The 16,384-nt window shown below is 36.1% G+C and overlaps 1 protein-coding gene across 14 annotated transcripts in view; it reads right to left on the bottom strand.

Annotated features, from left to right (window-relative positions):
• DPP6 (dipeptidyl peptidase like 6) overlaps positions 1–16,384 on the bottom strand; it is a 1,146,153-nt gene that overhangs the window by 348,896 nt on the left and 780,873 nt on the right. For all 14 annotated transcript variants that reach the window (NR_157195.2, NR_157196.2, XM_047419951.1 and 11 more), the window contains one exon: positions 4,764–4,858. Coding sequence is in view for 12 of the 14 variants with exons in the window: in XM_047419951.1 (XP_047275907.1) it covers positions 4,764–4,858 (95 nt within the window). In the remaining 2 variants the exon portion in view is untranslated. The remainder of the gene's footprint in view (positions 1–4,763; positions 4,859–16,384) is intronic.

The raw sequence follows: 16,384 nt of genomic DNA, 5'->3' as shown, positions 1-16,384 counted from the left end.
AAATTCATGAGGACTTTAGGAACCAGGCAACCATTGGCCAAATGTCCAAAGATCCAATTTTGGACCATGAGATATATTTGTGGTGGTTCATTTTTTAGGAAAAAAAAACAAGATACATAATAGAACAAAGGCCATTTGATAAGATGTGCTATCTTGTTGACAAGAGTCTTATAAGGAGCATGAAACGTAAAATAACATTGACATTTAAAATTGTGTTTAAAAGAGTAAAGTGTAAGGTCCCGGAATTTCTGTGACATCAAACATGTAATTCAAATAAAAGTGAGCTTAGGTTTGATTTTTTATTGATGTTTAGAGTTCTGCGAGTGCCTCTTGCTGTAATTACCAGCTCTGGATGCCTCTGCCTCACTCTGGGATGCAGGCTACATCCAGCTTCATGAGGGATGGACCTCAAAACTAAAGTGGCGTGGATTCCACTGTCTGCTACTGCTGCCTGGACCCACGCAGCCGCCCACATGCGGCAGCATCCTTGTCATGCTCCTTTGGACATCATCATCCTCTGTCTCTTCCTTCATAGAACCAACCCACTCCTCCTGCCTGAGCCCTGAGCCTGGCCCAGGCTCTTTGGTCTAGCCTAACGCTCTGGAATCCACATGTGGCATATACCCACATTCCAGCTGTTACAACTGTAATTCAGTCCTACGACACTCCTGAGGGATAAGACTGGACATTCAGAACTTGCACAACCGGCTGGGGTCCTGTTGTTCCTGAGCAGAGCACAATGCCAAGGCTGGAAGGTAGACCTGAAGCTCAAAGTCATGACCCCAGTGCTGAATGCCCCTCCACACCTGTCACTCACATGGATGTTTCTGGAAAACTGCTCAACTCTATTGTTTTGTTATTCTAGAGCGGTCATTCATAAAACACATAGCAGTGGAGCATCTACTATGTGCAGGTCATGGTGCTGAGCACTATGTGGGAGACAAAATTAAATCCCAAACAGAACCTGCTCCAGTGAGCTTAGAACTGGGCAGCAGCCTTTACAGCTGAGGAGAGCTACTTCAGAGATGATGCACTTGTGCTTTGGGGACAACTGTGCTTTTATTTGATTCATTTTCTGTAGAAATGTAGACAAGCACTTCAAAAATTCTCAAAAGAGGAAATGGATCAAGACATTTTGATAAATGTTTTCTAAAAAGCAGTTCTTAGCTACCATCAAATATGATATGCTATCAAATAATAAGGATCAGGAAATAGCCCACTATATATATATATATAAAATATATATATAAAATACATATATTTGTGTGTATATATATTTGTTTTATATATATATATAAAACAAAAGAATGCCCCCCAAATTGTGAACCATAATATAATCATCATAGAATTTTAAATGTTTACACATACAGAAACTCTTTTTTTTTTTTTTTTTTTTGAGATGGAGTCTCACTCTGTTGCCCAGGCTGGCGTGTAGTGGAACGATGTCGACTCACTGCAACCTCCAACTCTCAGGTTCAAGCGTTTCTCTTGCCTCGGCTTCCCAAGTAGGTGGGATTACAGGCATGCTCCACCATGCTCGGCTAACTTTTTAATTTTTAGTAGAGATGGGGTTTCACCACATTGGCCATGCTGGTCTCGAACTCCTGACTTCAAGTGATCCACCCGCCTTGGCCTCTCAAAGTGCTGGAATTACAGGCATGAACCACCGCACCTGGTCTGAACTCAACAATCTAAAGTGTTTGTGGTATTGTGAAATATTTCATGATTTCTACCATTTAAAAGCACAATAAAGGATGACTGAATTAGTAAATTTAGTCAAAAGAAATTGTTTGGGGGAAGGAAAGGTGAAATACATCCATGTAAATACAGAACTTAGCACAAGCTCTGAATTTGCTTAATCACCAGCTATCTTAAAAGCTTTCCTGCTGGATTGACAAAATGTTTGCAGTGATTTGCAGGCCCTTCCATCCACCTGTCCCATGTAAGAGCCAATCACAGTAAGCGCAGGAGCAAAGAAGAAGCTGGAGGCAAACAGGCTTTGGTACCTTGCAGTGACCAGCTATGAGGAGGGTCTGTTTTTATTGGCTCGGGAAAGAGAATGAGGTTATTAGAGGTCAAGGTTGTAGGGAATATTTTAAAATTCTGCTGACCACAGAATTTACCAATTCCTTTCCATTTCTCAACTTGTTTAAGGCTGTTTTATAGCCCAACTTAAAAATTACAGTTGGCCTCAGATTGCTTTTTATCATTTATACAAGCTCACAGCTTCTGGAATTCAAATGAGAAGAGAACACCTGATCAGTCACCAGGAAGGCAAGAGAACAGAATATGGAAGAGCTACTGCTCCCCATTCCCAATTCCTCCAGGCTGTGGGTGATCCTCCAACCTCCAGCCCCTGTGGAACACCAGGCTTCACCTTCTCCATACTTGCTCATGAAAACACACAGAGCATACACATATTCCATTGCTGGATCTCACAGAGTACCCAGGTTCTGGGCTGGCAGAAGAAATCAGCTTTAATTTGGAGATAGAGCAATTGAGGCATGATAATTTTAAATGACTAAGTGGCTCTGCGGAAATTAAATCCAGATTAAATTAAATTAGGATGCAGACCTCTAAATGACATTTTTTGTCTTCTTTATTTTGAGTCTGTTGACAGGAGCATTTAAATGTAGCTTTGAGAAAGGAATAATGAATCCATTAGGCTGTACATATTTGGTGCTTAATAAATGTTTATAAAATGGATGGAAAAGTGACATTTTAAGGAAAAAAGATTGCATTATATAGAATAAGCCAGCGAATTTCTGAGATGAGAACTTTTCTTTACCCATGGTGGTTTCTGAAGTCACCTTATTAAAGGCGACTTGGCTAAAATAACTTCAGTTAAAATATATGATCTGTCACAAGCTATTGATTTTAGAAAGAGAAGGCGGTTCACATTCATGTATTTCATTGCTAAGTGCTGCTGTTATGTACAACACCCAGCCTTTACTAAACTGACATCCTCACAGGAAATAATGATAACATTCCGACATTAAAATGCACTGACGCTCAGCAACAGTCTGATCATTTTATCCTCTCTATTAATATTAGAAAACCATTTCTACAACGTTAGTATTTCTAAGTGAGTTGAATCAGATTCTCTTAGGGGAGTAATTCTACCAAAGATGATTTTTTTAATGCAAAAATGCAGGCACATTCATTTGTCCTAGGTCCTACTTTGCAGAATACTATTTAATTCAATAAAGTGATCATTTTTGGAACTATGCCATCATCCAACAGCGTGAGGCCTCCCTTACGCCTGCAGTCTATGTTAGGGGCAGCATGCATTTAATACTAAATCTCAGCAAACCTTTTAATAAAAAGGTATCTTTATGCAAAAGAAAAGAAATGAAAGTATTTAAATAGCAAGTTACATGTTCTTTAGGAGGGAAAAGAAGGCAGCACAGCATTTCTGTGGATCTGGGGATGGGGTAGGGTAAAGATGAAGCCATCCTTCCTTCTCCCTGGGACACAGGCTTCTGGGACACCACCTGAATGCTCCCTCAGCCATCACTGAGCTGTGAGACTCAAAAGCTCATGCTCTAAGTCTCGCTCAGGATCCTTATCTGTAAAACCAGGGAACCGGTTAATTTTTTTTACAACCTCCTCTAATCCCGGATTATAGGATTCTAGGATTTCTGTGTTTCTGATTCATACCAGAGCCCTGTTATGATCGCTTTAACGGGATTCACAGCCTGTTTCAATTCTTGCTTTTTAACATAGCTTTAACCTTAGTTCTGTCCTTTGATTTCCCCAGTGTCTCAAACAAGAAAAGAATCAACTGCTTTGAGTTGGAGATTTATTTATTCTAATAAGAGTCTGAACATTTTGTAAACAAACAAAATGTTAATTCTCTTTAAATTGATTTTGGTGTATAACTCCAGTCAATATTTCTAATACATATCTTTAACCGTACATGAACATCAAATCTTAATGCCATTTAAATCTTTGGGGTCGAGTACAGTGGCTCAGGCCTGTAATCCCGGCACTTTGGGAGGCCAAAGCAGGAGGATTGCTTGAGTACAGGAGTTCAAGACCAGCCTGGGCAACATAGTGAGACCCTATCTCTACAAACAAAAACAAAAACAATTAGCTGGGCACGGCGGCACACGCCTGTAGTCCCAGCTACTCAGGAGGCTGAGGTGGGAGGATTGCCTGAGCTTGGGAGGTCAAGGCTGCAAATGAGCCATGATTGCACCACTTCGCTCCAGCCTGGGCAACAGAGTGAGATCCTGTCTCAAAAAATATACATATATTTGGGAAAACAAGTTTTCCCAAATCATAAAGCAGTGGCATTCATATTGACTCAGTATTTACTTTGAGGCATAAGCATCCACTTAATATAATTAGGGTAAGTACAGTCACAGTGCCTAAGTTAATACTTCCTATGCATGCGGAGACGAGCTTTTTTTAAACAGGATTGAGCAAATTCTCCTGAAGTATTCTACATGCATTATTGCAATTGTTCTGTAAATGTGTAAAAGCCTTAGGACTTTATCTTTTAATTATATATGATATGCAACACTTGTTCCCAACACCTGCAGAGAAATTTCCCAGACAATGAAAGAAACAGTGCTTTCATCTTATTGAATTAGCGTGGTTTCAATTTCACATTATCTTTGGTTGCTCAGCCTGTAGTATTACAAGTTTATTGCTTCTCCTTGGCTATGCTAAAAGTTGAAACCAAAAGTCATTTTCTGTTTTATTGACTTGCAGGAAGAAAAACTGAAATTATCCCGGTCATTAAAGAGAGTACTTACAATTTTTTTGCCTTCTATTAAGACAGTAGAAGTATTTGTTTCAACATTCCACAGTCTCACTGTTCCTTTCTGTTCTCTGTAGATGAATTCTGTATCTGTAAGAGAGGAAGTAGAAAAAAACCACATGAAACATCAAGGAACTCTCCTCAACTTTTGACGAATGCTTATGTAAAGTAAAATCACTAGTTCTGAAAAAAAGATAGGCTCCCACTCATCAAACGGCCCTTTCAATATGGTGCAATATGCCCAGCTCTTCTTAATCCAGCCTCACATGATGCTTCTCTCCTACTTTACACATTGACATAGAAAGCACAGGCGCACACACCGAAAACCTTTGGAACAGCTAGAATGTTCTTGGGCAGGACACAAAGAGCAGATTAAGAAAGCAGATACTCCAAGGAGCCAAAGACAACTGTTAGTAAAGGGACTAATTTCCTATATCCAACTTTGGAGTAAATCTGTATGCAGAATGCTTGTGGCCCATAGCCACATCCTGCAAAACATGCTTTCATCTGCTCCACGAGCTCCCCTAGGTGCTCTTGCTTGGAGGAATTAGCTCTTCGCTGCCATGAATACCTTTGAATCTATACATCTCATAGATGCTGAGTCTGGCCTCTTGTAGATGAACAACCAAGATTTCAAGCATCCCCTTAGAAAATTAGTAAAAACGCTTACTCAAAATGGTATGCATATGGACATGTACATATATATCTCCTATGAATGAAAGGGTGTATTTCTGAAAGGTAGGGTTGTATAAAAAACAACTCCCCAAAATCAATGAGATAAAAACACTCCAACAGAAAAAAATAGGCAAAATAAATACACCAATAATTTTTTTTAATTTAAAAAAATGTTTATTTCATCAAATGTATCCATCTTTAACGACATCTTAGTTTTGAACCATAATTAGAAAGATCTTTGACCCTCCAAGATGATAAAGACACTTTCCAATGTTTTCTTCTAGAATTTTTATGCCTTTTTTTTTTCTTTTTTGTATTATACTTTAAGTTCTAGGGTACATGTGCACAACATGCAGGTTTGTTACATATGTATACATGTGCCATGTTGGTGTGCTGCACCCATTAACTCATCATTTACATTAGGTATTTCTCCTAATGCTATCCCTCCCCCTGCCCCCCACCGTACAACAGGCCCTGGTGTGTGATGTTCCCCTTCCTGTGTCCAAGTGTTCTCATTGTTCAATTCCCACCTATGAGTGAGAACATGCGTACACCAAGAAATTTTATAAAACAAAAATAGTAAGTAAGCACATGAGTAGACTCTTAAAGTCATTAACACTCTGATGATGCAAATTAAAATCAGAGATAGGTACCATTTTGCAGCCACTACCTTAGAAGAGAGTAAGAAAATTTCATACAGGCAAACTACTTTCTGAAATGTAGGGTTGCAGGTTGAGAGGCAGGGCCCACAGTGGGGAGAAGGAAAACACTATCTTTCTGAGTGAAGGCAGTAACCTTGAGCCAGTTTGATGGTAAAGGCATTTCACACTATAATAGTTGATGACTGAAAAACATTATGCAGACTGGATTAATTCAAAAGCAGAGTTGTTATAATTTAAGTATGTGTAGATTTTATGAGGAAAATGAAAGTCTATCAATATAATGAAAATTTCATCATCGACATGGTCCTAGATCAATCTACTTTATGCATTATGTAAATTACATCCAAAGCTTCAGTGCTAAAGTTAACAGATGTTTAGGTGAAATTGTTTTCATTTATTTTCCTGGTAATACTTTCATGAACAAATCAAATGAGTCATATTTTTCTGTTTCTTAAGCAAACACACCAAGGTGCATCTATTGAATGAGCTATCTCACATTAAAAGAACTCACATGGAAGACTCTGCAATCATTTCAGTGAAGTTGCCCTTATATAGCAAATTTTAGAATTTTTTTTTAGAAAGCACTTAAGTTTGTTAGTTATATAAGTTGCAAAAAAGGTTACTACTTAATTTGATTGTCACCTTATCTCCCTTCGTCCATTAGCTTTTACTCTGAATGAATTTCTAAATATCAAGTTTGCCTTCAATGGATGAAGATTTACTACCTTTGACACCCCCTCACGAGTTCCAAGTTCTCTGCTTCTACCCCGCCCCCACATTACTGATCACCATGAAACATAATGATTGTTTAAGAGTATGCAGTGGGGAGCTGAACAATGAAAACACAGAGAGGGGAACGACATACACTGGGGCCTGTTGCAGGGGTCAGGAGGAGGGAGAGCATCAGGATAAATAGCTAATGCATGCAGGGCTTAATACCTAGGTGATGGGTTGATAGGTGCAGCAAACCACCATGGTACACATTTACCTATGCTACAAACCTGCACATCCTGCACATGTATCCCGGAACTTAATAAAATAAATAAATACATAAAAAAGATTATGCCGTACTACATTTGAGGTACATAAAACCTGCTTGTTTCTACGGAAACCAATGAGACCATTTCAGAATTAGAACGTATGATTACTTTTTTTTCCTCCTGAATTTTATCATTCCGGTACTTTTAACAGTTTTATCACATATTTATGTATCTTTAAATACTATGTTGTTTAGTTTTTTTTTGCATTTGACCTTAATAAGGTGATATTTACTGTGTTCCTCAGTAATTTATATTATATCATATTTCTGAGGTGAATATAATAGTCCATGCTGTCTTGGCTCTTAGTTCTCACTGATGTACACGATTCTAGTGTATATTACAATGGATACCAGTCATTCCTAGTTTTATTGTTATTACAAACCATTCTACCATGAATATTCTTCTTTACATCTTTTGGTAAAAATGTACAAGACTTTTGCTTCCTCTCCTCTTCCCTCTCCTCTCCTCTCCTCTCCCCTCCCCTCCTCTCTCCTTTCCTTTTCTTTTTCTTTCTTTCTTCCTTCCTTCTTTCCTTCCTTTCTTTTTTTATTTTTTTGACGGAGTTTCACTCTTGTTGCCCAGGCTGGAGTGTAATGGCATGATCTCGGCTCACTGCAACCTCTGCCTGCTGGGTTCAAGTGATTCTCTTGCCTCAGCCTTCCCAGTAGCTGGGATTACAAGCTTGCACCACCACGCTGATCTAATTTTTGTATTTTTAGTAGAGACGGGGTTTTGCCTGGGTTATGGGAATCTTAACCTTACAAGTTATTTTCAAAAGTGGTTATGACACTTTAACAGGCACCAATAGTGAATGAGATCTCATAACTCACATCCTCTCTAAAACTTGCTATTTTCAAACTTCTTACTATCTTCCAATACAGTGGGTGTAAAAATGGTATCTCTGATTTTATTTTGCATCATCAGAGTGTTAATCAGTTTAAAAGTCTCTTCATGTGCTTATTTACTATTCTTGTCTTATTTTATAAAATTCATTGGTTTATTTATTTTGCCCACTTTTTTCTGTTGGAATGTTTTTATCTAATTGATTTGTAAGAGATTTTTTGTACATCCCATATGAAATATTCATTAGTTTTATGTGTTGAAAGTGCATTTTCTTAGTTGTGGTTTTCGTTTTATATATAAAATATTTTGATAAGCAGAAATTATTAATATAGTAAAAATGTTTACCCTTTGTGTTTGATATGACATATATAATAAATATTTTCCCATTACATGGTCATAGTAATGTTCTCCTATATATTTTCTGAAACACTTTTGAATTTTCCTTTAAAAAATAAAGCCTTAATTCACTGGGAAATGACATGAATGTATGGTGTGAGGTAGGAATCTAATTTTGTATGTTTATATCTGCAACTATTTGTTGCAGTACAATTTGAGAAGGTCATTATTCGCTCTATAAGATGTGATGTGATCAATAATATTTCAGCAAGAATATCTGCAGTCATTGGGTCACATGGGACTTTTTTTATGTGTCCCCTGATGAGTTGACTCATTCCTGCATTGATACTACACTGTGAAATTATGTACCTTTGTAGTACATCTTGCTATCTGGAAATTTTCCCTTATGAGTTTCCTTCACGAAGGGTTTGGTGTTCCTTAGGATTTTGCTGTTTATTATATGTGTCAGATTCAGCCTTATATGCATTACATTCAGCCTGTTAAATTAGTAAAGAATTCTCCTGGGAAACTGATTGAGATTTCATTCAATTGAAAGTTCCATTTGGAGGAAACTGGACACCTTTACAACCCTGAGTCTTCCTTCTGCGTACTTGGTCTGCCTTTCCATTTATTTAGGTATTTTTCTTAGCATCTTTCCATGAGTTTTTATATTTTTCCATTGACAAAAATAACACAAAACATAACCTATCTAGAAATGAATCTAACAAGGGATGTGAAAGACCTCTATGCCCCTTTACTGTGGATCATCTATTCCATCAATAGACCCAGGTAACAAGTGCTCTGTTTTGTCATTATGTAGTTTTGCCTCTCCTAGAATTTCTTACAAATAGAATCACACATTACATAGTCTTTTGTGTTTCTCTCCTTTCACTTACCATAATGATCTTGAGATTTATCCATGTTATTCCATGTATTAATGTTTCATTCCCTTATACTACAAAGGAGTAATCTATAGGACTGACAGACCTCAATTTTTATGCATTCAAATTCATGCATTAGTGACAATTTAGATTGCTGCCAGGTTGTAGCTATTATATTGTTGGGTCATATGGTATGTTTGCACTTAACTTTATGGGAAACTGCCAAACTATTTTCCAAAGTAGCTATACCATTTTGCATTTCCACCATCAATTGTATAAGAGTCACATGCACATCATTTCTTCACTATCAGTTGGCAAAATCAGTCTATTAAACATTAGCCACTCTAGCAGGTGTGTAGTGGTATCTCACTGAGGTTTTAATTTGCATTTTGATGATACATAGTAATAATGAACATCTTCTCATGTGATTATGGGTGATTTGCAGGTTTTTTGCAAACTATCTTGAAAAATTTTGTCCACTTTTAATTTTTTTTTTTTTACAATTTATTACTGAGTCCTTTAAGCATTCTGGATATGAGTCTTTGTCTGAGATGTATTTTTTAAAATTCTTTACCAGGGTGTGGCTTTCCTTATTCTTTTCCCAATTAATTTTTTAAACACTGGGGCCTGTCAGGGGATGGGGGACTAGGGGAGGGATAGCATTAGGAAAAATACCTAATGTAGGTGATGGGTTGATGGGTGCAGCAAACCACCATGGCATGTGTATACCTATGTAACAAAACTGCACATTCTGCACATGTACCCCAGAACTTAAAGTATAATAATAAAAAAAAAAAATCTAAAGTGAATGAAATCTATTTTTTGTATTTTTCTTTTATGATTCATATTTTTAGTGTCCTGAGAAATTTTTGCCTACCTCAATGTCACAAAGATTTTATCTCATGTTTTCTTTTAGAATTCTAATAATTTTAGCTCTTTCATTTAGGGTCTACGATCAAATTTTAGTTATCTTTTAGACAGTATATGTAACAAGCAGCAACGTTCCTTTCTTTTCAGATACATAACTCGTTTGTTATTCCAGTACGTTGTTGAAAAGATTGTCTTTTTCCCACTGAATTACTTCAGCATTTTTTTTTGTCAAAAATGAATTGAAAATGTATGTGTAGATTTCTTTTTCTGGACTTTCTATCCCATTCCATTGATCTGTGTCTATTCTTATGCCAATGCCACACTGTGTTGATTACTGTAACTTTAGAGTAAGTCTTGAAATCAAGTAGTATAAGACCTCAAACTTTGTTTTACTTTTTCAAAATTGTGTTGGATAGTTTAGGTCCTTTGTATTTCAATATAAATTTTTTAATTATCTTGTTGATTTCATCAAACAAGTATTTGGGACTAGGATTGGTATTACATTGAATCTATAATTCAATCTAAGGAGAACAGCCATTTAAAAAATATTGCTTATTCCAATCCATGAACATAGTACATATCTCTAATTGTTTAGATCGTTCTTAGCTTCATTTTGGAATTTTAGTAGTTTTCATGTACAGATGTTGAATTTCTTTTTAATAATTTAATCCCAAAATTTCCCAATATTTTTTCATTGTAAATGGTATTACTGTTTAATTTCATTATTTGTTAGTTTGTAATTATAAAGTTAATTTTGTCTATTGATTTTGTGTCCTGCAACTTTACTCAATGCACTTTTTTGTTCTAGTTCACTTAAAAAATATACTTCTTAGGGTTTTAACATACACAATCATGTTATGCAAATAAGGACAGGTCTACTCCTTCCTTTCAAATCTGTGTACCTTTTATTTATTTTTTGGCTTTACTGCACTAACCAGGACCTTTATTACAATGCTAAATAAAATCAGCATTAGAACACATCTTTTCATTGTTCCCAATGTTAGGCAGAAAGCATTGAACTTTTCATCATTGAATATAACTTAGGTGTAATTTTTTTTTCATAAATGACCTTAATAAGTGAGGAAGTTCCCTTCTATTCTTAGGATGTTGAAAGATTTTATCATAAAACGCTGATTATTATAAAATGCCTTTTGTGCAGCTATTGCAATTATCTTATGAGGTTTCTCTTTTATTGTCATTAATACAGTGAGCTATGTTCATTGATTTTCAGATGTTAAACCAACTTTGCATTCCTAAGATAAACCCATTGGTCATGATATATTATCATGTTTTATATAGTATTGATTTTTTTTTTTTGAGACAGGGTCTTGCTCTGTTACCTAGGCTGAAGTGCAGTAGCATGATCATGGCTTACTGCATCCATGAACTCCTGGACCCAAGAAATCCTCCCAACTCAGCCTCCCAAGTAGCTGGGACCACAGGCACATGCCACCATGCCTGGCTAATTTTTTAAATTTCTGTAGAGATTAAGTCTCAGTTTGTTATTCAGGCTGGTTTCAGACCTCTGAGCTCAAGCAATTCTTCTGCCTCAGCCTCTCAAAGTGCTGGAATTAGAGGTGTGAGGCACCATGCCAGGCCTATTGTTGATTTTTATGTGTTAATATTTTGCCAGGCATTTTTGCCTCATGATCATGAAGGATATTGGTCTTAATTCTTTTTTTTCTTGTGATTTCTTTATCTGGTTTTAGAGTGAGAGTATTTCTGCTTCATAAAATAAGTTGGGAAGTGTTCCATTCTATTCTATTTTCTGAAAAAATTTATGTTGGGTTTTTATTATTTTTGCCTTAAATATTTGATAGAATTAATTAATGAAGCCAACTGGGCATGAAGTTTTCTTTGTGAGAAGGCTTTAAATTACAGATGCAAGTTCTTTAACCGAAATAGAGCTGCTTCAGTTTCCTATTTCTTCTTAGGTCGGTGTTGAAAATAGGAGTCATTTGATGATTTGTCCATGTCATCTAGCTTGTAAAATGTATTGGTATTGTAGGAGAGAAAAGATCTTTTCTCATTCACCATCAGGGTCTCATGGCTGAGGCACCTACAACAAAAGACACATCAACACGAGAAAAACATACACATTTATGTAACATAAGTTTTATGTGATATGGGAAACTTCAGACAGGAACATCCAAAGAAACAGGGAAACCTGTGTATTTTTATGCTTTGGTTTGATGAATGGTGGACATTTATGGAGAAGTATAATTGAAGAAAGGTGATGTGATCTAATGGTAATAAATGGGGAACTTAGCAAGGCCTGTTGGTTGACATTCTTCTTTGTGTCCCTGTGTCTTGTGAAATAAGGAAATTCCTTTCTTCTGAGTACAAGAATGACACTTCTAGAATGAAAGTCTTGTAACCTTCTTCAGAAGAAAGTCAGAGGATTCTTGCATGACCTGCTTTAGGGGAGAAGTGTGGAGGAAGGGCAGAGAGACCTTTGTTTCTGCTATTTCCTCCACTGCCAAGGTGCCATATTTTTTGGTAGTATATCCTGAACCCCATCAGTATAAATTTTGTTTTATTTTAAAAATAAATTATTTATTTAAAAATATTAATTTAAAAAATATGCATGCATTTTCTATTAATTAATAACATATTATCTTTTTAGTAAGATAACAGGTTATGCTTTAGTAGGATCGTGGCATCTGCATTTATCTCCCTACTTTATTTCCTGAATTGGTCATTTGTGTCTTCTTTTTTTCTTGACCAAACTGGATATTTACCAATTTTATTGACCTTTCAAAGAACAAGCTCTTGGCATTATCATGTGTATTATTTCTGTATTCTACTTCAGAAAGTTATTTTCTTTTCTTTGTTATTCCTTCCTTCTTTTTGCTTCACTTTTAATTTACTTCTTTTCTTCTAGCTTGTTAAGATGAAAGCCTAGGTCTTTGGTTTGATATTTTTTTTCCTTTCTAGTTAAACTATTAAAGCTAAAATTTTTCCTGTGTGTATAGCATTAGTGACGTCTCACAAATTTTGATATGCTCAATTACATTATTATTCAGTTCAAATTATTTCCAATTTTCCCTCAAATGTCTCATATGCCCAGTAGGTATTTTGAAATCTGTTAATTTCCAAATATTTAAAGTTTATCTGACCATCTTATTGTTATAGATTTTTAAAATTTAAATCCACTGGATCAAAGAATACTCTGTATATATTTCAGTCTTTTGAAACGTCATTTTTATGGATAATAATATAGTCTAACCTTTAAATATACCATATGCACATATAAGAAAACCATTTATATGGCTGGGTTTGGGTTTATCATTTGTTTGTTTGTTTTCTAAGTGTCTCCTCTGTCTTGTTTCTCTCTCATTATTTGGCTTTCATTTTATTGTTTAAATATCTTTAGAATTTTAATTTTCCTATTTTAGTTGCATTTCTTTGCATTAGCTTTTTTTGTGGTTGTCTTAGAAGTTATAATATATACCATTAAATTTTCAAAGTCCAGAAGCAGTTAATAATGTACCACTTCTTATTAACTATAGAAACCTGTTAAGCTTTCAGGTCCGTGTCCACTTCCACGCAATTATACTTGTTATGTGTATTACATCAACATAATTTACGTATTACAGAAGACAATGTTATAGTTTTAGTTTATGACACAACATGGTTTATAAAGAAATTAAAATTAAAAAGTCAAAAAGAAAAAAATGTCTTTTGCATTTATCCACAATTGGCCATTTCTGATGTGTTTTATTCTTTATCAAGATTTGAGTTTCCATTGTATATCATTTTCTTCCGTGATGAAATTCCCTTAGGATTTCTTTTTGTATGGGTCTGCTGGCAAAACACATTATTTTATATTTGTTTTATCTGAAAATGTCATTTAACCTTTATTCTTGAAGAATATTTTCTGTGAATATAGATTTCCAGTTTATAGGGTTTTTTGTTTTGTTTTTTGCCTTTCAGCATTTTGAAACTCTGTTCCACTCTCTTCTGGTCACCATGGTTTTTAATGAGAAGTCAACCATTAATTGAATTATTTCCCAGAGCGTATTATTTTTCTTTTGGTGCCTTTAAGATTTACGTGCTGCCTTTGGCTTTTGAAGCTGACTGTTATGTGCTTTTATTCTTTTGGTCTCTTTTTTCCTTCAACTTTTATTTTAAATTCTGGGGTACATGTGCAGGATGTGCAGGTTTGTTACATAGGTAAATCTGGTTTGCTGCACAGATCAACCTATCACCTAGGTATAAAGGTGGTTTGCTGCAGAGATCGACCCATCATCTAGGTATAAAGCCCAGCATCCATTAGCTATTCTTCCTGATGTTCTCCCTCCCCCAACGCCTCCCCTCAATAGGCCCCAGTGTGTGTTGTTCCCTGCAATGTGTCCATATGTTCTCACTGTTCACTTCCCACTTATAAGTGAGAACATGCGGTGTTTGGTTTTCTGTTCCTGTGTTAGTTTGCTGAGGATAATGGCTTTCAGCTCCATCCATGTCCCTGAAGAAAACATGATCTTGTTCCTTTTTGTGGCTGCATAGTATAGTATTCCATAGTGTATATGTACCATATTTTCTTGATCCAGTCTATCATTGATGGACATTAGGGTTGATTCCATGTCTTTGCTATTGCGAACAGTGCTGCAGTGAACATACATGTGTACATATCTTTATACTAGAAATATTTATATTCCTTCATGTGTATACCCAGTAATTGGACTGCAAGGTTAAATGGTATTTCTGCTTCTAGATCTTGAGGAATCGCCACACTGTCTTCCATAATGGTTGAACTAATTTACATTCCCACCAAGGTGTAAAAGTGCTACATTTTCTCTGCAACCTTGCCAACATCTGTTGTTTCTTGACTTTTTTTTTCAAGTTCTGGGATAACTGGCATGAGATGGTGTCTCATTATGGTTTTGATTTGCATTCCTCTAATGATGTGATGTGCTTTAGATTGAGCTGTTTTGTGTTTATTTTGTTTGATGTTCACTGAGCATCTTGTATTTGCCAAGGTATGTCTTTCATCACATTTTTAGCTGTTAATTTGACAAATTGTTTTTCTACTTCTTTATCCATTTTCTCTCCTAGAATTTTAATTACACATAAATTGGGCAGATGGATATCTCTTCACAGGCCTCTGACGCACTAAAAACAAATTTTCTCCCTGTTCATTTTGAATAATTTCCTTCTTTTTTTTCTTTTTCTTTTTTTTTTTCTTTTGAGACAGAGTCTCACTCTGACACCCTGGCTGAGTGCAGTGGTGTGATTTCTGCTCACTGCAGCCTCTGCCTCCCAGGTCCAAGCGATTCTCCTGCCTTAGCCTCCCATGTAGCTGGGACCACAGATATGTGCCACCACGCCCAGCTAATTTTCATATTTGTAGTAGAGACAGGGTTTCACTATGTTGGCCAGGCTGGTCTCAAACTCCTGATCTCAAGTGATCCACCTGCCTTGGCCTCCCAAAGTGCTGGGATTATAGGCATGAACCACCACTCCCAGCCTCACCTTGGATATTGATCTATCATTTAATCTTTCCTAAGTCATGGTAATTAAATTATCAAGTCTATCCAGTGAATTTTTTAATTTCAGAATTTTTATTGTTCTATTTATAAGTCCCCATTTGGTTCCTTTATGTTTTCTGCTGAGATTTTCTATTTCTCTGCTGAGATTTTCATTCATTGCAAAACAGGCTTATGTTAATTCGTTGAGGATAGTTATAATAGCTTTCAAAAAATCTTTGTCAGTTCCAGAAATCTGTTCCATTTCCAGGTCAAATGATTAGCTTTCTTTTATTTTGAGCATGTGTTCCACTTTCCTGGTTATTTGTATCTTAAGTAATTTTGGATTATATCCTAGACATTATGGATATTAATTTCTGGACATTCTGGGTTTTGATATTATCTCCCGATAAATGTGATTTCCTTTGTTCTAGCAGGCAATTTTCTTTGCTAGGCTTACACAGCCAAGTTTGTTTCTTGGGTAGCAGCTTTGTTGTTAGTGTTGTTAGTGAAGATGTTTAAGCTCTTTAGCTGACCTGCCTTGATTCCCTGCCACAGATATGATTCACAGGTCATTCAGCAATGTGGGAAGGCAGTGACTGGGGATCCCCTCTCTGGATTATTTCCTGACTTGCCCATTCTTCCTCTTGAAGCCTTCTCAAATCACCTGTCTTCTTCATTTCCAATGTTTCTGCCTTGGTTCTGATTGTCATCACCTTCACCATAGACTACTCCAGCAGCCTCCTAATGGGTCGCTCTCCTTATTTCCATTCTCTATGCAGACAAAGCCATATCTCTCTTTTAAAACTCCTTTTTATCCCTTTGGCAGAAACTATTTTAG

This window comes from Homo sapiens, chromosome 7, assembly GCF_000001405.40.
Source record: "Homo sapiens chromosome 7, GRCh38.p14 Primary Assembly".
Taxonomy (NCBI): domain Eukaryota; kingdom Metazoa; phylum Chordata; class Mammalia; order Primates; family Hominidae; genus Homo; species Homo sapiens.
The sequence above is the reverse complement of the archived record's forward strand: the minus strand, read 5'-3'. Positions and strand labels throughout refer to the sequence as shown.